The 23,680-nt window shown below is 38.1% G+C and overlaps 1 long non-coding RNA gene across 1 annotated transcript in view, besides 1 other annotated feature; it reads right to left on the bottom strand.

Moving 5' to 3' along the window:
* LOC105375483 (uncharacterized) overlaps positions 1 to 1,978 on the bottom strand; it is a 33,025-nt gene extending 31,047 nt beyond the window's left edge. The window contains exons 1-2 of the long non-coding RNA NR_133947.1: positions 1,883 to 1,978; positions 1,498 to 1,672 (exon numbers count right to left, since the gene is read on the bottom strand). This is a non-coding gene — a long non-coding RNA (uncharacterized LOC105375483). The remainder of the gene's footprint in view (positions 1 to 1,497; positions 1,673 to 1,882) is intronic.
* Positions 1,545 to 2,423: an enhancer, noted in NCBI's record as "OCT4-NANOG-H3K27ac hESC enhancer chr7:123634231-123635109 (GRCh37/hg19 assembly coordinates)". NCBI's record gives its function as "activates a minimal SCP1, AML or CMV promoter by ChIP-STARR-seq in naive and primed H9 embryonic stem cells {active_cell/tissue: H9 hESC(naive and primed)}" and the evidence as "EXISTENCE:reporter gene assay evidence [ECO:0000049][PMID:30033119]".

Raw genomic sequence — 23,680 nt, 5'->3', positions numbered from 1 at the left:
AGCTTTCAGGGACAAATGCCGAGAGGAACTATGGACTAGACTTTCCAAGATGGCGGCTCCCCGTTTCTTCCCTGCCAGCCACTTGTACCATACAAAGCAGACAAGATGGCACCGATCAACTGGAAAGCCCATTTGCATAATAAGATTAGGGTGGGGCAACCAGCCTTCCCTGAGCACTGTGTAAATGTCATACCTGATAGAACCAATCTGTGAGCCCTACATAAATCAGACACCGCCTCTTCAAAGTGGGCTATAAAATTCGGTGCATTTGCCACCGGCCGGACCTTTCCACTCGGAGACCCCTTCCTCTATAGAGAGAACTATTTCTCTTTCTCTTTTCTTCTACCTATTAAACCTCTGCCCCTAAACTCCTCATGTGTGTCCGTGTCCTGAAGTTTCCTAGCACACGACAATGAATCCCAGGGTACATACCCCGGACAAGGTAGCCACTTCGGCAACTTTTATCCCACTTCATCCAGCTTGCCTGCCCCTCCCCACTATGGCATAACTCACAGCACCCCTCCCCTACCCTCTTTGTTTATACTGATATTATGAAACACCGCATTGTATTGTGGTTAACATATATTGTGTGTGACTATTTGATGGATAGATTCATATTTGTTTCTCTAGGAGATAGTGAACATGTCCCCAAATGGGAACAACATCATCATTATCATCATTATTGCATTTTGCATCTCACAATTTCATCATCTAATGCTAGCGATTGGGCTTTTCTGTGGGAGGAGTTTCTGGCTTGTAACTTCAACTTATGTCTGGAAAGTCCCATTTCCCCTTAGAGTTCTCTGCTCACTGTTGCCATCCACATGTTAGTTTCAGAGTCAGGGCATATAGTTCTCCCTTTAGATATTCTGGTTCAGTATGCACCATCGTCTCTTCCCTTTGATACCCCTTAACACAAGTGAAATGAGGCCAGGATATTTAAATAAGACTTTGCCAGGGAGTAACAAAAGGGAAATTAATCCACGAAGTAACTTGAAACTATTTAATTTGAAATACAGGATACCACATGCTCTTTGAGCTCAAGGCTTTATTTCCATGTAAAGGGGCTGACTGGTAGCCCACATTCAAGAACTAAAGTCTAAATCTTTGCTTCCCTAAAAGGCTAGCCTAGAGAGGAAAAGGCCAAGTGTGGGGGCCAGAAATTCCTTCTCCAGCCTGACCAAGGCCAGTCTTTCTAGTCCCAGTTTCCTGCGTAAACCCTGTTCTCTTTAGGGATTAACATTAACCATGTTTATCCCTTTCAAGGGAGATTCCATCCCCTAAGCACCGGAGTGTGGCTTTACACTCTCCTTTCATCAGGGCATCCAGATTGGAAAAGAGGTAAATTCATATAATAATTTTAAAACAGGTTATGGAGTGAAATCCTGGATTCAAATCTTTACTCTGCCAAGTAACAACTATGTGATTTGGGGCAAGTTACTAAATCTCTCTGTGTGTTAGTGTCCTCTTTTGTAAAATAGCAATAATAGAACTTACCTCGGATGGGGTCCTGGTGAGGATGAAGTGAGATAATAGACATCAAACACTCGAAACAGTGCTTGAGGCATAGCAAGGACTCATCATTCTAACTAGCTGTAATGCAGAGATGCAGCTGCCATCCACTCAAAGGACGCACACAGGTGATCAGGAGCTCTGTTCTCTTGCAAGAATACTGAGCATGAAAGACAGAGTCAGAATATATCTGTTAACTTGAGAAGGAAAATGAAGGCAGAGCATTGCAGAACCTTGAAGGACAGATGAGGTGATCCCCACACTGCTCTGCAAACATGCATCTGGCAATGATGGCTCCCAGTTCTTTCATCCCCATCCCCTTGTCTCATTCCCACTTAAAATGGAAAGCTAAGGACCTTCCCTGCTTTACCAGGATCTTTTGAAGTGCAGATTTTACTCTAATCTTTAGTGGAGCTGTAGGGCTTCAGTCATTCATCTGCTCCCTTTATTATGCTACAGCATTTCTGATCAAACAGAATTTGAGAAGACAGAATCTGTCCTGTCAAACAGTAAACAAAGAAACTCTCATAATAGCCCAGTGTTGTCACATGGCCTCCAGCCTTAGGTGTCCTGGAATGCTCCAGATCTGTAGAAAGGCACTAAACCATCTTGAATGTAGAAAAGGGACAATGTAGGACAAATTTGTTAAATATATCTTTGCCTTATAGAGTCATGATTATACTGATGATTAAGGTTTTTTTTAAATGCTTTCATAGTATAGCCTGGGAGAGAGATCAGCAAACTTTCTGTAAAGGGCCAAATGGTAAATATTTTAGGCTCTGGGAGCCATACAGACTCTGTCTCAACTACTTCACTCTGCCATTGTAGGAGAAAGTAGTCACAGAAAATAGTTTGAATGGATGTTACAATAATATGTTACTTCAAAAGCAGGAGCCAGTTGGATTTGGCCCAAGGTCCATAATTTGCCAAACACTGGCCGGACATACTGTTTCTTAGACTTGCATTATATCCATAACACTTTCATGGTTTTTGCCAAATCTACGAACATATGTAATCTTATTTATTACAAAATTTAAGTTCACTCTATTTTTAAATGCATTTTAAAATAAAAAATATAATTATTAATATAAAACATAAGCTAGTTTACTTTTAATAAAAAGATAGGTTTAAAAACTGCATAAAAAGAAACCACACAATTAAAATGCTAATTAAAATTTGAAGATATTAATGCTTACAATATAATTATAGAATAATTTTATAATATAATATTAATATACTTATATAATATAATTATTATAGAACAATATTACAGAAGAATATTAAGTGCTTATATTATAATATGATAGAACCATATTGGGAGGATGGGAGTAGGAAAGTATAGAGATGATACACAGCATATGAGAGAGCTAAATCCTCATCTTTTATGGTATACAAAATACTAGAAAATGAATGGTTTCTAAAATGAAAAAATAAGAAATAGCACTATAAGCATATTATAATAGAAAAACAGAGGTAAATACCTGAAGAAACTTCTGAAATAATTTAAAATGATTGACTCTGAAAGTGGGAATTAGGAGGCAGCAGTTGAGAAGTCTAGCAAGTTACCGTATTTTCAGTCTTCTAGAACTATCTATCTGACTCTTAAAACTCTGATAAGTATAAAAATGAAATTTTAAAAAGCCAAGGGTGTTGAAAAGGGTGTTTCCTTTCAAAGAAGGAACACTTTTTAATATAAAGTTGACTTGAAGATATCTACCATAATTTTTTAATTATTGATTTTTCTGTTAGGTATTAAACAAAATTCCTCAAAAGAATTTTTGAAGAAGAAATAAGATTTATCACTTCAAGCAAAGCTGCTTAACAAAGCTAGTCCCATATTGGACCTTGCTTAACCCCTATGCTGTTCTCTGTATCTTAGCTACGGTGACGTTCTTTAAATCCCTCCTATCTGTGTTATCTCTACTGCTGTCAGAAGCATTGGAACCAGAGTGACTCCATCTTGAATAGGGCTGGGTAAAATGAGGCTGACACCTCCTGAGCTGCCCTCCCAGGAGGTTAAGCATTCTTAGTCACAGGATGAGATAGGAGGTTGGCACAAGATACAGGTCACAAAGATCCTGCTGATAAAACAGGATGATGTAAAGAAGCTAGCCAAAATTCATCAAAACCAAGATGCCTATGCAAGTGACTGCTGGTCATCCTCACTACTCATTATATGCTAATTATAATGCATTAGCCTTCTCAAAAATACTCCCACCAGCACCACGACAGTTTATAAAGGCCATAGCTAAGTCCGGAAATTACTCTATATAATCTAAAAGGAGAAGGAACCCTCAGTTCCAGGAAATCCTCTTCCCTTTCTTGGAAAACTCATGAATAATCCACCCCTTTTTTAGCATATAACCAAGGAATAACTATAAGTGTTGTGAACCTTGAATACCTGAGACAGGTCTCAGTTAATTTAGAGGTTTGTTTTGCTAAGGTTGAGAAGGCAGGCCGGTGACAGCCTCTAGAGTTCCTGACGACAGGTGCCCAAGGTGGCCAAAGCACAACTTGGTTTTATACATTTTAGGGAGACATGAGACATCAATCAACATATGTAAGATGAACACTGGTTTGGTCCAGAAATGTGGGACAACTCGAAGCTGGAAGAGGCCTTCCAAGTCACAGGTAGTTAAGAGACAAATGGTTGCGTTCTTTTTGAGTTTCTGATTAGCCTCTCCAAAAGAGACAATCAGATATGCATTTATCTCAGTGAGCCGAGGGATGACTTTGAACAGAATGGGAGTCAGGTTTATCCTATGCAGTTCCCAGCTTGACTTTTCCCTTTAGCTTAGTGATTTGGGGGCCCCAAGATGTATTTTCCTTTCACAGTGTACTCAGTCAAGCAGCCCATACCACTGATTTGCCTATGGAGTAACCATTCTTTTGTTTCTTTATTTCTCTAATAAACTTGCTTTTACTTTACTTTATCAACTTGCCCCGAAATCTTTCTTGTGCGAGGTTCAGGAACCATCTCTTGGAGTCTGAATCAGGACCCCTTTCCAGTAACACCACCATAGCACGTGCGTACACGCTATCCTGCCTATCTGGAATGCTGTCTTTGCCTTTTTTTTTTTTCTTTTTTTTGAGATGAAGTCTCGCTCTGTCACCCAGGCTGGAGTGCAGAGACAGGATCTCCGCTCACTGCAAGCTCCGCCTCCCAGGTTCACACCATTCTCCTGCCTCAGCCTCCTGAGTAGCTGGGATTACAGGCGCCTGCCACCAAGCCCTGATAATTTTTTGTACTTTTAGTAGAGATGGGGTGTCACCGTGTTAGCCAGGATGGTCTCGATCTCCTGACCTCATGATCTGCCCACCTCGGCCTCCCAAAGTGCTGGGATTACCGGCCTGAGCCATTGTGCCCGGCCTGCCTTTTAACCTGATTACACTTGACCCTTTATCTCTGAATTCTGGATCCACAGATTCAAGTAACCACAGATCAAAAATATTTGGAAAACAAAATCCCACAAAGTTCCATAAGCAAAACTTGAATGTGCTGCACACCAAGTACTACATCGAATACACAGGAATGAAGTGATGTGTAGGCATTGTATTGGTATTTTAAGTAATCTAGAGATGTTTTAAAGTATACGAGGGGGTGTGCGTTGCTTACATACAAATATTATGCCATTTTATATACGGGACTTGAGCATCCACAGATTTTGGTGTCCTTGGGAGTCTTGGAACTGATCATTTATGAATATCAAGAGACGACTTTAACTGTAACCCATCAGGGAAACCTTCCCCCAATAAGTCAAACCTCCTATTATAGCTGCTCATGGATCAGCAGGCCAGTCCTTGGAAGCACTTGTCACAAATGCCGTTTTATATTGGCTGGAAAATTATTGAATTATTTTCTGACTGCCTTGCTATATCATTTTCTCCTTGAAGTCTAAGGATCAGAAACTAACACAATACCTTGCCATCATAGCCACTAATAAATATTTATTACAGTGAATAAGTAAATGCAATACTGAAATTTTAAAATATATATATATATATATATATATATATATATCAATTAGCCAATTCTGGTTGTAACATTTTGTTTTCATAATATAAATCTGCATGTTATCCCTCAGAACTTATAAATTTGCATTCTGATAACTGATTAAAAGCAGCACTTTCTTAAAGAGAAATGTTCAACTGTTTTCAGGAAAGTCAGAGGCAGGGATTACTTCCTCAAGACATGGAGTAAAAGTGAGTGATTCTAAGTTTTAAGGTTTAGCTTTCTCCAAATCTTCCAAACATTTCCAGATATCACTTTCCAGATGTCAGGATTCCTTTCTTTCTTGGTCAATATCCTACATTTCATGAGACCTAGTTATAATATAAATTTAATAATTTAAAATATATACACAATTCTTAAAATAAAAAGTGTTTATGCTACTTCAATTTCGGGATCATGGCAGATGGGAGGCAGAACTGGATTGAAGCTCCAGACAGAGCTGCATGCGGAGACCATTAGCAAGATTAACCAAGAAAAGAAGAGAGAAAATCCAAATAACCTCACTAAGAAACGAAACAGGAGATGTTACAACTGACACCACTGAAATGCAAAAGATCATTTAAGGCTACTATGAACACCTTCAGTGACATAAACTAGAAAATCTAGATGAGATGGATAAATTCCTGGAAAAATACAACCCTCCTAGCTTAAATCAGGAAGAATTAGATACCCTGAACAGACCAAAAACAAGCAGCAAGATTGAAACGGTAATTTAAAAATTACCAACAAAAAAAAAGTCCAGGACCAGACGGATTCACAGCAGAATTCTACCAGACATTCAAAGAAGAATTGGTACCAATCCTTTTGACGCTATTCCACAAGACAGAGAAAGAAGGAATCCTCCCTAATTCATTCTATGAAGCCAGCATCACCCTAATACCAAAACCAGGAAAGGAGACAACCAAAAAAGAAAACTACAGACTGAGATCCTTGATGAACATAGATGCTAAAATCCTTAACAAAATACTAGCTGACCGAATCCAACAACATATCAAAAAGATAATCCACCATCATCAAGTGGGTTTCATACCAGGGATGCAGGGATGGTTTAACTCAAACAAATCGGGAAGAAAAAAACAAACAATCCCATTGAAAAGTGGGCTAAGGGCATGAACAGACAATTCTCAAAAGAAGATATACAAGTGGCCGACAAACATATGAAAAAATAATCAACATCACTAATGATCAGGGAAATGCAAATCAAAACCACAATGTGATACCACCTGACTCCTGCAAGAATGGCCATAATCAAAAAATCAAAAAATAGTATATGTTGGCATGGATGCAGTCATCAGGAAACACTTCTACACTGCTGGTGGGAATGTAAACTAGTACAGCCACTATGGAAAACAGTGTGGAGATTCCTTAAAGAACTAAAAGTAGAACTACCATTTGATCCAGCAATCCCACTACTGGGTATCTATCCAGAGGAAAAGAAGTCATTATTCAAAAAAGATACTTCCACACACATGTTTATAGCAGCACAATTCACAATTGCAAAATTGTGGAACCAACCCAAAAGCCCATTAACAAATGAGTGGATAAAGAAACTGTGGTATATATACATGATGGAATACTACTCAGCCATAAAAAGGAATGAATTAACAGCATTTGTGATGACCTGGATGAGATTAGAGACTATTATTCTAAGTGAAGTAACTCAGGAATGGAAAACCAAACATCATATGTTCTCACTGATATGTGGGAGCTAAGCTATGAGGACGCAAAGGCATAAGAATGATACAATGGACTTTGCAGACTTGGAGGGAAGAATGGCAGTGGGGGTGAGGGATAAGACTACAAATATTGTGCATTCTATACTGCTCAGGTGATGGATGCACCAAAATCTCACAAATAATCACTAAAGAACTTACTCATGTAACCAAATATCACCTGTACCCCAATAACTTATGGAAAAATAAAAAATATATAAAAAATGGCTAATTCTAAAAAATAAATAAATAAACATAACACCAAAGCCAGAAACTACACAGGAAAAGGTTGATCATGGCTCTGAGCTAATGTATCACTTTCCAAGTATTACTTTCTATGTAGGGCATAAGATCTGGAAGCCACGCATTTATTTTCCACTGAATTTTTTTCCCAATTTCTAAATGCTTAAATATCTGCCTATTCAAGGAAATAATAAGTAATTGTAAAAATACCCCAAATCTTGTCCAAAAAAAGTCTGGAAACACAGAGAATATGGTGTATTTTTAATATCATACTTTAGATTAACTATTGGATTTATTGCTTTAGAGACACTTACCTGAGATGGTATGTGGAAGTTGAAGGAAAATATATTGAGCATATCGTATCAAAATGTTACTAATACATTGTTTGAAAATAAATTAGTCCTATGTTTCTGACTTTTTAAACACTCTATGAAGTGTTGTTTTTAACTATAAAAAATGAAACAAGGCCAGTTGTGGTGGCTCACACTTGTAATCCCAGCACTTTGGGAGGCCAAGGTGAGCAGATCCCTTGAGGCCATGAGTTTGAGAAAAGCCTGGGCAACATGGCAAAAACCTGTCTCTCCAAAAATACAAAACTTAGAGGACGTGGTGGCACGTGCCTGTAATCCCAGCTACTCAGGAGGCTGAGGCATGAGAATTGCTTGAACCAAAAGATGGAGGCTGCAGTGAGCTGAGACCATGCCATTGCATTCCAGCCTGGGTGACACAGTGAGACCCTGTCTCAAAAAAAAAAAAAGGAACAACCTAAACGGTCAATAAAGAATTGTTAATAAATAAATTATTCATAATGAAATAAATAAATAAATACATTCCTGGAGAAGTGTTATAAACAATTGTTCTAGAAAGACTGCGGGTAACTTATTTTTTTTTAAGTTGAATTGATCTGTGATATGTAGGCATGATTGGACTGAAGCCATGGACCCCAAGGAGCAAGGCTCCATTGAAGCAAACAGTCCCTACAACTTTACATGATATAAGCATATCAAGAATCTTTACAGAATTTTTAAAAATCTGCGTCCTCAAAGGAATTTTTCCTTTAAAATGTAACAGTGTACCAAAGGAAACTGCAAAGCAATTTGTAAATATTACTCTATTTTTGGTGAACTAAATAAAATTATATATGTTTATTTATATGCTTAAAATGTAGTCCAAAAGAATTTTTTAATTTACTTATGTACTTCCACCCTGCTTACATTTGTTTCAGTATCTACTATTTTTATACTTAATTTTTAAACTAATGTTAAATCAAATTTAAATTAGTCATATACAAGCACCAAATGGTAAATTGTTTTTATAACAGCATAAACTTATGTGTTTTAATATCTACTCCATATTTCTACTAAATAAAATTTTAAGCCATAGCACACAACCAGAGAAGCCCAACAATTCAATCTTTCCCTTATCTGAGTTTTGTATTAATAGACTCTTTCTTATCTACGAAGAATGCCAGATGCATTCTTAGCAAAATAGCTAAGATTAGAATCGCAAAACATTAGTGTTTGGAAAGAACTAACAACACTCAGTAATTATTAAGTGTTTAGTATTTACCATTCATTGTTCTAAGAATTTTTAAATTATAAGTTATTTTGTCCCTAAAAACCTTATTGTTATCTAGTTTTACAGTTAAAGAAACTGAGAAACACAGTTTGTAAACCATAACCAAGGTCACAACTCCGCAGTGGTGGAGCGAAGGTTTGAACCAAGCAGATACAGTACTATTAACCACTCACCTACCAGCACTCATTCCAGGGTAATTTTTAGAGAGTTTAAACAATGGACTGAAATCATAATAGAGTCTATTTTATAGGGGTAGTTCTAGGTATTTGATGGCTTTTGGTTTTAATCATATTGAGTCAAAGTCTGCTTCCCTGTAATTTATACCAAGTGGTCTTAGTACCTCCATCTAGAAAAAATATAACAAGTCAGAGAATCGGTAGACAATGAGTTGAAAAAAAACCTTAACAGTTACATTGTCCAAATATCAAGTGCTTCCTCATCTAAATGGAATTTGAGGAGAGCTATCATATCTCTTGTACTATTCCTGTACTATTTCCCAAGTTTCTTTTTTCTAATTTTTTTTTTTTTTTTTGAGACAGAGTCTCACTCTGTCACCCAGGCTAGAGTGCAGTGGCACGATCTTGGCTCACTGCAACCTCTGCCTGCCAGGTTCAAGCAATTCTCCTGCCTCAGCCTCCCAAGTAGCTGGGATTACAGGCATGCGCCACCATGCCTGACTAATTTTTTGTATTTTTAGTAGAGACAGGGTTTCACCATGCTGGCCAGGCTGGTCTCGAACTCCTGACCTCGTGATACACCCATCTCGGCCTCCCAAAGTGCTGGAATTACAGGCGTGAGCCACTGTGACCAGCCGCTCTCTTTTCTAATTTTTTCAATCTGGCTCTTTGGGAACCAGATTGGGAACCACATTTAAGATGTACTTTGGGAACCACAGCAGTTTGTCAAAGTTTCTCTTGAGTTTTGATATGCAGAATTGAATATAACATTTTAGTATGAAATTTGTATACCACAGAATGAGAGATATTATATTATATGTGATATATAATGTAATTAAATTATAATATGGTAATAATATGGTTTGAAGGAGAAGATATCCCTGTTTTGCCCACATGTGTGTATCTCATACTAATGTTGGACTATTGCATTATGACACAGTTGTCCTAATGAGGCCACAGTGTATTGTAATGCCAACCACATGAGTAGAAATTGAGGTCTCACTGTAATGAAGTAGTCACTCCCAGTGCCAGTTATCCATGAAAAAGATAAATCCTGGGAATCGAATTATAACTTGGAAGAGAGTCTACAATGAGAAAAAAAAAAAAAGAATCATGTTCTTCACTCTACTCTGAGTCTTCAGAAGTGTTTGGAGGGCTCTGGGGTGATGGGGAAAATAGACACTGCACAAGGAGGCAGACCAGGTAGTTAACAAGGAGATATAACCCTCTCACTGGGCAGGGGTCACACCCACAGTGGACCCAGAGGACAGCTAGGGTTCTGTTATTAAGAAAAGCCATTCCCAGAAGCCAATTGTATATGATGCTTCTTATATAGAAATTCTCTCCATTTTCCTGAAGGCTTTAGTTAAATTATAGTCATAAGACTATCCAATCTGCTTAAATTATGGCTGTGCCAGAATAAGAATATACAGGGTGCAATTTGTTGGTGCCCATGAAGTTTCTTAAAAGGTAAGACAAGAGCTGTGAGGTCCAGCTGCCCCTCCCTATCTGGAGACTCTCTGTCCATGACCAAGCCTGGAGAATTGGAAAATTATTCTATTAAGGGAGCTGGCAAGTTTCCTTGTAGCATGCTAATACTTTTAGCTTTTCAACAATCACATTACACCTTATAATTACAGTAAACTTTAAATCAACTAAAATGCTCAAGACTTTTTCAGATATCTTAACTGTACATATACCATACTTTTCGAAATATATATATGTATATATATATATTTTTATATATATATATGTATATATATTTTTTTTTTTTTTTTTGAGAGGGAGTCTCGCTTTGTCGCCCAGGCTGGAGTGCAGTGGCGCGATCTCGGCTCACTGCAAGCTCCGCCTCCCGGGTTCACGCCATTCTCCTGCCTCAGCCTCCGGAGTAGCTGGGACTACAGGCGCCCGCCACCACGCCCGGCTAATTTTTTGTATTTTTAGTAGAGACGGGGTTTCACCGTGTTAGCCAGGAAGGTCTGGATCTCCTGACCTCGTGATCCGCCCGCCTTGGCCTCCCAAAGTGCTGGGATAACAGGCGTGAGCCACTGCACCCAACCTTGAATTATATTTTTAAACTAAATATGAGACTTCACAGTTTTCAATTACAGAAGGTTTGTTTTTGCCCTAATATCCCGGCATGCCAAGATCATATAGTCAAACTCCGTTTGAATTGTTTTAGTACTAGTGAGCCCTCCCAGCCTTGGCCATATTCAAGTTGGACAAACGTGTTATTAATAGATAAGGCCAAGGATATAACCTTGCTTTATTTATTTGCCCAGCCTTGAAACTTGAATTTGCTTACTATTAACTAGTACATATTTCATCATCAGGTACTCAAGGATATCACAGGAGGCTTGTCAAATGCCTTGCAGCACTTAAAATACACTATATTTATATCATCCCTGGATAACCTAGTGATTTTACTTGCAAAATAAAAACAAATAATTGGTTAATTTAGCTGTTATCAAGTCTATCTTATGGTTCTTGTAATCAACTTATTCTTTTTTAAAATACCAAACTATCTGCTTAATACTTGTTTTATACTTTTTGCCAAGAATCTATGCCAGCATTAATAGAATTCACATTTCCAATTTTCAAAAAATATGAAAAGCATTATTCCATCAATCCATTTTCTCCTTATGAAAGATAAAAAAAAAAAACAGCAACATACCAGGTATCTCTTCCATTAACTTCCCCTTTTGCTGGTTCTAGGTATTAGGCAACAGAAGCAGAATAATAGAGATGTAAGGCCAATTATCAGAGATGGGCTTCCTCTGTTCCAATAGTTTTCAAATATGAGTGACCATCAGAACTAAGTGGGGAGTGTTTTTTTTTAATTGTTGGCTGGCTTATTTTCATATACATTCCTTGGGCCCATTCCCCAGTATTCTGACACAACAGGTAAGAGGAAACTAGAAATCCCCAGGTAGTTCTGTTTAAGAGCCAGGTTTGGGGACTACCATGCTCATATCTATAATCTTTTCTTGGATATGATGGAACAAATTATTTTGATAGAGAAATAATTATTACTGTATTTCATAGATTCCAAGACACTTGTAATGCATTTTAATATTTTCTAAATGGGGACATATTTTACAATTGGTAATGTTAACAGTTTAATTGACAGCATCTTCTTTTGCTGTGCTTAAAATGATGGTTCATCTTACAGTTGATGGCGTATTTGATTCAATGACATATGGTTGGTACAAGTTGTCAATTAATTTCACTATATCTTATAGTCACAAACTTATCTTTAACCTTTAATCACGTGGCAGATAAATACATGCCTTTTGTCACAAGGTGGAATTAGTTGAGAATGCATAGGAGAAACTACACATTTCCTTAGGACTGCTGGAAAAATCAGCAATCATCTTTGTGTTGCAAGAAAAGCCAATAATATCTAGGTCTTTTTGGTAACAAAAATTGAGGGGAAAAAAAAGAAGACTTATTAGGAGTTATAGGCAATTCTAAGCTCTCAGCTTAATGTGGCCAAGAGAAAGCTTTTAGGAGTAATAACTCGCCTGTAATCTCAGCACTTTGGGAGGCTGAGGCAGGCGGATCACAAGGTCAGGAGTTCGAGACAAGCCTGGCCAACATGGTGAAACCCCGTCTCTACTAAAAATAAAAAAATTAGCTGGGTGTGGTGGTGGGCACCTTTAATCCCAGCTACTTGGGAGGCTGAGGCAGGAGAATCACTTGAAACTGGAAGGCAGAGGTAGCAGTGAGCCGAGATCGCACCACGGCACTCCAGCCTGGGTGACAGAGGAAGACACCATCTCAAAAAAATATTATTAATCAATTAGAGAGAATGACACTGCATTGCTACCCAGGAGCCTTTTATTTTCTTGCTTTCAGGAAAGCTTCCTTGAGGTGGAGGTAAAACTGGAAATGAAACTAATAAATAGGGGTCAGACTGTGATCCATGCCAGCACATAGGGGTAGGCTGCACGATGAACCATGTGTGACATAGTCATAGCAGGAAAAGAATTCAGGACTACCGATCTGGCCCAGTTAATTGTAAAAAAGAAGAAAATGAAGAAGAGTTGCAAAGCTGTTTAGTGGCAGAGCAGGAAGAGGAACCCAGGAGCATGGCTCTAAGTCCAGTGTTCTTCACATTATGTTACATTTCTTGACATCTAAGCAGAGTGTACAATTTCCATGAACCTTAGAAGTCAACACTTTTAAAAATGTTTACATTATTTCAATAATTTATGAAACTTACGTATCTTCCAGATATATGATGCTAACTACATTTCAGTGACTAGGCTGCTTCTTTTTTGTTTATATAGAAGTCCAGATTTTTTCAACAAAAATATGCTTTATCTTGGGAAAAATATTTGACCCTAAGCATTTATCCATTTTATTTCTTGACAATTATTCAAAAAGAAACAAAAGCAAAACAAAAATCAATAAAAGTCACTTTCTCAAGACCATAGTCAGACCTTGCTGTCGCCTTGGTTTAAGAATCATTAAAATTTAAGACTGGTTAGTCTGCATTAGCAGAAAATAAAAACTTTAGAGAAATCTTTTACCATAGATTTCAGATACTTACATAAGCAAAAAGATACAGTATAAGTGATGAAAAAGAACATTTTTCTCAGCTTTTACTTCCTGTGGTTAGTGTTATTTAAAACCAGTTGATTAAGATGATACTGAAGAACAATGGTCTTATCAGTAAGTGGCACTGGTTAAATTGGATATCTATATAGGAAAATAAATTAATTTTGACCCTATCTTCCATGATAAAAAAAAATTCTAGGTGTATTCCAGGTGTAAACATGAGAGGTAAAACAATAAGTCTTCTTGAGAATAGCATAGTGATATGGTTTGCCTGTGTCCCCACCCAAATCTCATCTTGAATTCCCATGTTTTGTGGAAGGGACCTGGTGGGAGGTAATTGAGTCATGGGGGCAGGTCTTTCCTGTGCTGTTCTTGTGGTAGTGAAGAAGTCACAGTGAGATCTGATGGTTTTATAAGGAGGAGTTTCCCTGCATAAGCTCTCTCTCTCTCTTTGCCTGCTGCCAGCCATGTAAGTCATGACTTGCTCCTCCTTGCCTTCCACCATGATTGTGAGGCCTCCTCAGCCATGTGGAACTGTAAATCCATTAAATCTCTTTCTTTTGTAAATTGCCCAGTCTCAGGTATGTCTTTACCAGAAACATGAAAATGGACTAATACACATAGTTATCCCCTAGATAGTATTAATGGCTTTGGTTTAAACAAAGATTTCTTAAGCAGGACATAAATATACTAGTCTTACAGAAAAACGCTGTTAAATCAGGCAACACTGACATTAAGAACTTGTCTTCCTTTCTTTTTAGGAAAAAAAAGGGGGATCTTCCTATGTTGCCTCGGCTGATCTTAAACTCCTGGCCTTAAGTCATCCTCCTGCCTTAGACCCCAAGTAACTGGAATACAACCATGTACCACTGCATATGGCAGAACTTTTGTTCTTTAACATAGACTATTAAGAGATAAAAAGTCAAGCTGCCAGAATGGGAGAAAATGTTGACTAGACATTTAAGTTGGACTAGTGTTGCTATGGGCATTCTTGAACCTCTTCTTTGGTGCGCATTCTATACATTTCTCTTAGGTATAACCTAGGAGTGGTTTATTATATAAATCATATATATGTGTGTGTGTGTGTGTGTGTGTGTTTGTATGCAACCAAATATTAAACAGCAATGAAGATGAACAAACTACCATCAAAACAGCATGAATGAACCTCACAAAAATAATGTTGCAGGGGGAAAGGCAGGCACAAAAGGGTGTATACTATTATGATTTTGTTTATATAAATTTATAAAACAAAAAATCTAGGGTAATAGAAGTCAGACAGTAATTACCTTTGATGGGGAGGGTGGTAACTGGGAAAGAATACAAAAAGATTTCAATGTAAAAATGCTTGAAACTGCAGATGTGTAATCTGTATACTTTATGTATGCTATACTTCAATAAGACTATTGTTATAAAAAGAATAAAATAAAAAACATTATAGTAATAATCATGAATTATAGAACTAATTGTGAATTAATAGAGTTGTGAACTGGAAATGATCCAAAATAATCAATAAATTTTAGCTAAAACAATTACTGAAGGTGACTCTACACATTTCTGGTTACAGAGGATATTTATTAGTATATTAATCTTATTCTAGATAAAATTTGTTTTATTTTGAAGTAATAAGTTTATCAGGTGGTAATTTTAATTTTTTAAATTTATTATTATTATTTTTCTTTTTTGAGATAGGGTCTCATTCTGTCACCCAGGCTGGAGTGCAGTGGTGCAATCATGGATCACTGCAACCTTGACCTCCCAGGCTCAAGTGATCCTCCCACCTCAGCCTCCTGAGTAGTTGGAATGACAAGTGTGTGCCACCATACCTGGCCAATTTTTTTTATTTTTTCTAAAGTTTGAGTCTTGCCATGTTGCCCAGGCTAGTCTCAAACTTCTGGGCTTAAGTGATCCTCCTACCTTGGCCTCCCAAAGTGCTGGTATTGCAGGTATGAGCCACTGCACCTGGCCTATCATTCTTATTTTTATTTAGTTTGCTTCTATAACATAAATTAATCTGGAGCAATTTGATGAATTGCAAATTTTCTTCAGAGTTGCTTTTTTCCTGGTTAATTCTCTAATATTAGTCTTTCAATAGAAATTACATTCTGTAGTTTTCTCTGATCATAAGGATAAAAAATTCAGTAGTTCATATGTTTAACAGACTATGGAACCTTTTAATCTCATTTTTCTAGAGAATACATACTTGCTATGGTCTATGTATTTCTGTCCTCGCAAAATTCATATGTTGAAATCCTAATCCCTAAGGTGAAAGTGGGCTTTTGGGGCACTTCTCTCATGAACAGAATGAATGTCTTTATAAAAGAGCTCCCAGAGAGCTGCCTTGCCCCCTTCTTCCATGTGAGGACACAACTAGAAGGTGCTGTCTATGAACCAAAAGAGGACCCTCTCCAGGATAGCATAGTGATATGGTTGGGTTGTGTCTCCACCCAAATCTCAAAGCACCTTGATCTTGGACTTCCCAGCCTCCAAAACTGAGACATAAATTTCTGTTGTTTAAAAGCTATCCCAATTTATGGTATGTTGTTAGAGCAGCCTGAATAGACCAAAACAGCACTACTATATCTACTTGATTTTGACAGACAAAGAAAGAAAGCAAAAATCTTCAAAATAGAAGTACTAGAGGCATGGAGACCAGGTTGGAGGCTGTGGCAGTCAGCCAGGCCAGAGAGCATAGTGACTCACACTAGCTTAGCAGCAGTGGAGGTGGTGAGAAGTGGTCAGATTCTGGACATATTTGAAGGCAGAGCCAACAGGATTTCTGATAAATTGAACATGTGGTGTCAGAGAGATGTCAGGAGTGACTTCAAGGACTCAGGCCTGAGCAATCAGAGGAGTTGCCATCAACTATGTGGGGAGAAAAAGTATGGGAATAGAAGGAGGATCAGGACATCAGGGCTCCAGGAAGCCTACAAGGAACCTAGCTTTGTGGAATGCTCTATTGATCTCAGACCAAAGAGGAGATCAACTAATAAATTATCAAATTAGAAATGATCACTGAGGAAGAAACACATCTGTCATCAAGACTGTTCCTCCTGTGGAGTAATTTTCTCAGGGGTTAGAATGTGGATAGCAGCTTCCTAAATACGGATGACATCCTTATCAAAATTTAGAAGGCGGGTTGCAACTTTTTCTACCCTCTGGAGACTGAGGCCTAAGGAGAATGAGTATCTTATCTAATAATAGTCAATAGTAATTTCCAGGTATCCTACTAATCCTAGAATAAACACATCTTTAATCTTAAAACACTTATTGTTTATCAAATGAGAATAGCAAGCTAGACACAGGACATTTGATTTGAAAAAATTCTTAGCAATGATAAAGCAGAAGTTATACATAAACTAAATTGGAAATTATCAGTTGCAATATTCCCAGTAATAATAATAAATTCAGTAATTAGTAATTTATCATTATTATTATGAAATACTTCTTCTATGCAAGGCATCACACTAAGTTCTCTTATGCTTTATCTCATGTAAACTTCATCACAATTTCCTGATTTTACAGATGAAAAAACCTTAGAGATGGGTTCACAGCTCAGAAGCGTGCATCCAGATCTTAAATCTACATCTGTCTGATTCCACAAACCATGCTAGCTAGTTATACTGCAAGAATAAGTTTAACAATTTAGAATTAGGTATGTCTCTATCTCTTCTTCTCATATTGCTTCATTTTGATATATATCTTCATTGGACGGACTTAGGAGTTTCCATAAACACATCTTAAAATAGAAAGCATTAATTTGAGTTGGCGGGGTCACTTTTCCAGTATCATGTGATAGCTACCAAAGGGCTGCTTTATCTTGAGCAGAGCCTCCTCATGACAGAATAGGGTAGAGGAGAGGGACTTTCTGGGAGACCTTGAGGTCCTATTCCAGAAAGTGACATTCTTTCATTCTTATTTTCTCATCTATTATTCATTATCTTAACTTGTCCTTACAATAATTACATGTGTTAGACTTTTATTAGCAATCTCATGTTAGAGAAGAAAATTGTTGCCATAAATATTGAGGTGATTTGCCTAGAGTCTGAGAGCATGTTGCTTCCATCTCTGGAACTAGAACAGTTAGATTTATTTTTTAAGTGAGCTGTGCATTATTTTTCTCCTTAAAAGCAGATTTATTAAGTTTTATTTTATATGTAATAAAATTCATCCATTCTAAATGTATAATTCAATGAGTTTTGTTAAATGTGTATGGCTGTGTGACCATCACCACAATTAAGAAACAAAACAGCTCCTTCTTACCCTCTATAGTCAATCTCCCCTCCTGACTCCCAGCACCTGGAAACCACTCATCCACTTTCTGTCACTAGAGATATGTCTTTTCTAGAATTTCATATAAATACAATCCCATATTCTATAATTTTTTGTGTCTGCCTTCCTTTGATTGCCATAATGCTTTGGATATTTACCCATATTATTATATGTATCAGAAGTTTGTTCTTTCTTATTGGCTGAAGAGTATTCCCTTGTGTGGACGTACCACAACTTGCTTATACGTTCATCAGTTAAGGGACATCTGGGTTGTTTAGAGTTGTTTGCTGTTATGCATAAAGCATAACATAACATAAATTAATATGAACATTCACAACAAGTCTTTGTGGGGACATGTTTTTTGACTTTTTCCTCGGTAAATGCCTAGGAGTGGAAAGGCTGGATTGTATGGTAAATATATGTTTAACTTCATAAGAAACTGCCAGGTTTCTAAAGTGGTGGTAACATTTTAAATTCCCACCAACAGAGTGTGAGAGTTCTGGTTGTTCTATACTTTCACCATCATTTTGTATTTTAGCCATTATGGACAAGTTACTTAATGCCCTCTAGGCCTGGTTTCCTCATCTTTAAATTGCAGCTGATAATAGTACCAACCTCATAGGATGGTTGTGAGGATTAAATAAGTTAAACATATTCATATGTCACACCACTGCATTTCAGTCAATGAAAGACTGCATATACAAGAAGGTTCCATAAAATTATAATGGAGCATATATAGAAACCTGATATATGGCACTGGATATTGGCATTGCAGACCAAGGTGTGGAAAAGACTGATATTCAGAAGTGGCATTGGAACATTTGGTTTTTTATATTAAAAAAACATGTAAATACAAATATGAGCTGGGTGCAAAGGCTCATACCTGTAATCTTAGAGCTTTGGAAGGTGGAGGCAAAAAATCCCTTGAGGCCAGGAGTTTAAGACCTGTCTGGGCAAAAGAGCAAGTCCCTGTCTCTACAAAAAAGTAAAGAACAATTAGCCAGGAGTGATGGCACACACCTGTATTCCTAGCTACTTGGGAGGCTAAGGCAGGAGGATTGCTTGAGCCCAGGAGTTCAACACTTCAGTGAGCTATGATTGTGCCACTGCACACCAACCTGGGTGACATAGCAAGACCTTGTCTCTAAATAAGTAAAAGCAAATATACATACCATCTAGGTTTGTGTAAGTACATCCTATGAGGTTCACACCATGACAAAATCTCCTAATGATGCATTTCTCAAAATGTATTCCTGTTGTTGAGTGACTCATGACTGTATGTGCAACATTTAGAACAATGTCTGGGGCTTGGTAAATGTTTAATAAAGATTAGCTGGTTTTTTTGTTATTGTTGTTACTGTTATTATTATCTTAACTCAAAAAGGAATTGAAAACTTTTGCTATGTGGTCACACTGTAAATAATCTTCCTAGAGATGTGAGACTTGTTGCAACTGTTTTATAACACTAGTGGGGAGAGTGTAATAAAGAATGGTTTGGGAGCATATCCACTTCTTCCATCCCCACATACCCCAGATACCAAATCCATTGGCAACGAGCAAGATGGTGGTTGACCTGGTTTCCATATGAAGAAGCGGGAAACTCATTTAACGATTCACACACAAAGGCAATACAATTTTGGGACTGGAGTTTAAGATAAAAGACAGAGAAGGAGGAGAAAAGCACTTCAAGATAGATGCTCCAAGGACAAGAGGGGAAGGAAGACTTAGGGAGTAGAAGCAAGTCAGTCAGTCATGGACAGCTCTGGGAATGATGGTTAGAATGAGGAGAACACAGGTAGAATGGAAAGGATTTCACAAGCAATATCTAGACCCAACTAAAGAGAAGATCAAATTAGCACTACAGAATTAAATCAGATTTGAGAAGGGGTAACCTGGTAGCTTTTGTAGGCTGAAGATAGAATCTTTCTATAATTTCTCCACACTGAGAATTATAAACTCCATTATACCCCCAAGAAAGCCAGCAAATATTTCTACAGACAAAATAGTAAAACCCTCATGAGGGATAGATCACATCTACATCAGGGAAAGAATGTGAGTCCAAGTCTTTGGCGAATAACTTCCCACTCTTACCCTTGGCATGGTAGTCTCTAAGCATCATAGTCTGTATGATCTTAAGCCACATACCTACCCACTTCGACCTTCCTACCTTGACTCCTAGGCCAATCAAATCTCCTCCTCCATCTTTCTAGATCTATTTCTGATGGATTTTTCTATCCCACTCTCCCCATCCTCATCACTTCTACATTCAGCCTCAGTCTCTCTCTCTACCTGCTGCTTATCTTGACACATGGCTTTTGATCTCTGCTTTTTCCTCTTCACCTACACTGGCCCATCCTCATCCCACCCCATTATCTGAGCCTCTTCAGTCTAAGGAAAGGCACAAGGCATACATTTAGCATCCTTGTCTGCTGAACTGTATTATCATCACTGTGAAAAACACCGACTGCACTGCCAAGTCCCCCTGTGCTCATCTCCTTGACTTTGTTGAGCTAACAGGGCTTGGCTTCACATCAAGCTCAGTTCTTGTTTTGGTCTTCTCTGGCACTCCCCCTCTCTCTCTGTGACCTTAAGTCAAATAGATGTTTTACCACTTGCTTGGAGGCAGATAAAAAATGTCCTACTTCATGGGAGAGTTGTGAGGACTAATTAAAAGCTCCTGAGGTATTTTGAGAACTTGCTTCGTTCTTAGGAAACTTAAGTTCTTGACAGCCTGGCTGCACAGGTTCCTTATAAACATGTCTGGGTTTTAGGTGCAACTTCCTCAAGCTAGGAATGGACTAAAATGAAACTGCAGTGTGACCAGCCATCAATTCAAATGCAACCCTAATGCAAGTATCCATTTGTATAGCACCCCTTTTTGTGTTCAAAGTGATTCAGATATAAATATTTTCTTTATTCTGATTTCCTCATTTAGAGGCTTTCATGTGGGAGACCCAATGGTTACTACATGCAAGAGTATGTAGTAATACTTTTTTATGGTAAAGAAAGTAATCTTGGAGAAAGGTTTCAGGCCAAAGTGTCTCTTCTGTTACTTGGCTGAATGAAATCCCTTGCTAATTTATATCTACAAATATGCCTTTGAAGTGACAACAATCTAGCTCAAAATATATAGTATAATCAAAATGTGGGTGAGGGATACTAAAAAAAGCAGATGATGCCACCCAGAAAGTCCATCTGTGTGACTTTCAATGTAACTATCTTAAGCAGGAAGATAGTTCTGCCACCACTGTGGCAGGAAGCCTCAGACAGTGTTTTAGAATCAGAATCAGAAAGGAGTCCAGGGGATTTACAGGGCTGTGGACAATAGCATCCTTAGCCCTAATCTTCCTGAGAGTAGTGGAGTGGTGGGCAAGCCCCATTTTCTGCTCTGTCCCAATTTACTCTACCATGCTACTTCACAGAATCAACCTAAATAAATAAAAATGGCAGAAATCAACACTCCCTTTCTATAACCTTAAGCCAGATGGATAATTTTACAGGAAAAGATATGAAGGAGGAAATTCAAAAATATAAACAACAGATAAATCAAGCTCGATCCAGCTGCAGTCATTTCCCCCAGGCGGAACAGGCTCCTCCATTGGTTGTAGCCTGACAGGATTCCTCAGAAAAGGAACAGCACGTGTTTGTATGGACCCCAGAAAAGAACCATGCCCCGACGCTATCAGCGTCTTTTAAAAGAATTTGTTTTATTATTTGGTGTTCTTTTTCTTTCTCTCCTCTCTGTGTTTCGTTTCCTGATCATACAAGTGAAACTCAAGGCAGTTACAATACACTTTCATGCCACACAGATGTATCAGGGGTACTACTGAGTTGGTGCAAAAGTTACTGTGGTTTTGGCCATTACTTTTAATGGCCAAAAGTATTTTACTCAGGCCTGACAATAACTCACTAGTCCCTCAAATTCCTTCTCCCAGACAAGCAGGGTCCTACACCCCTGGGCTCTAGCTGAAGCTGTTTCCTCAATTCCAGGTCAAGTGGAGGCATGTATTACTTGCACTCAGACTGAGGTGTGTGCAGCCAGCAGGGCAGGATGATCTGAGAAGCAGCTTCATGGAAAGAAGCCAATGGGATGTGAGCAGATCATCCACGGGAGGCATCAACCTGAGGGGCAGAGCATGAAGTTCACCGAATACAATTGAAAATCAGTCACCAGGGGAAATTTAAAACACAGCAGAGAGGAAAAAATCTGATTTCAGTCCCAACTCTCTTACTGCTATCTGTGTCATCGTGGCTATGTCACTTAGCATATCTAAGCCTCAATTTCCTCATCATGGACATAATGACAGCTTCTATCTCAAGTATTATGAGGAACAAATGTGAGGGTGCATGCAAAGCACTTATTAGAATACTTGACATAAAGTAGAGGTTCCTTATATTTCATCTACTAGAATTACTACTATTATTGTTATTGTTACTCACCCTTAACGAAGAGGGAGTGGCTGTATCCATATTTAGAGGGCATTCGTGTATTTAGCGTGGCAAAGAGGGATTAAACTAATCTTAAGTGGGTAAACGAAAGATGCCTAGCACATGTTGACCCCGACTGCTCTCCCATATTAAAAATGAGAAAACAGAGGCAAAAAGAGATTAAATAATTTGTCCAGGATCAAAGAAATAAATAGTAGAGTTAAAATTCAAGCCTGAGCAGTTAGCTCTGTCTCGATAGCTAAACATTTCCCACGTAACTCTTTAGTTTCTTAGTGTCACCCACACTCCCCGACATTTCCCAGATTATGACATCTCCCTTTTTAGTTTCTGCCTGGAATATCCTTTCTCCTCTTCTCGACTTAATAAACTTCTACTCCACCTTGAAGCTGCAGCTCAAGTGTTATCTACTGGGTCCTTGTGAAGCCTTTTCTAAGGCCACCAGGAAAGGAGGTTTCTCCTTTCATTGGGCTCACATGGATCTTTGTCATCACATTGAATTTGGGGTTCAGTTGAAGGGGCTGTCCACTCCTTTACAGCAGGGATCTTAGCCTGATGTCTGCGGAAGGGGATCAAAGGGAGGTCTGTGAATCAGGCATGTGGATATGTACCTGATGCACACATACACTCACAAACAGAAATGCACACGGATATGCAGCAGTGATTTTTATTTTATTTACCCAAATCGTCTTGCTGTACACATTATTTTCATGTCTATTATGGGCTGCTCCTGTAGACAAGCACTGTATACTCATCAGTGTTGTCATGATATGTCAGAACAGCTTCCCACTGGTAGGAATTAGTGAATCTGTGTCCTGCGATGATGATAATGAGCATCTATCTTTACTTTAGAACTGGCTTAAGTTATAAAAATGTCACAAGCAAAAAAAAAACCTAACAAAAAATATCAAATATCCTTTGGCTTTTCTTTCTACTATGTGTGATAGAATACCAAAGCCCATGTGCTTTGTTTATGACAACATTCTTGCTAATGAGAAGAGTATTAAGCCAAAAATGCTGAAGTGGCATCTCATACTTTTTGTTCCAAAAATATATTAGCATAGATCTGTTTTAAGAAGGGAAGGCTGGAGTTGAAAAGGCAAAACGTTGCCAAAATTTGATCTGACTTGACACTAGGCAGCAGCATACTGTCAAAATAGAAACAAGTT

The sequence above is a fragment of the Homo sapiens genome, chromosome 7 (genome assembly GCF_000001405.40).
Source record: "Homo sapiens chromosome 7, GRCh38.p14 Primary Assembly".
Lineage (NCBI taxonomy): Eukaryota > Metazoa > Chordata > Mammalia > Primates > Hominidae > Homo > Homo sapiens.
This window is presented reverse-complemented; position numbering and strand designations above follow the sequence as displayed.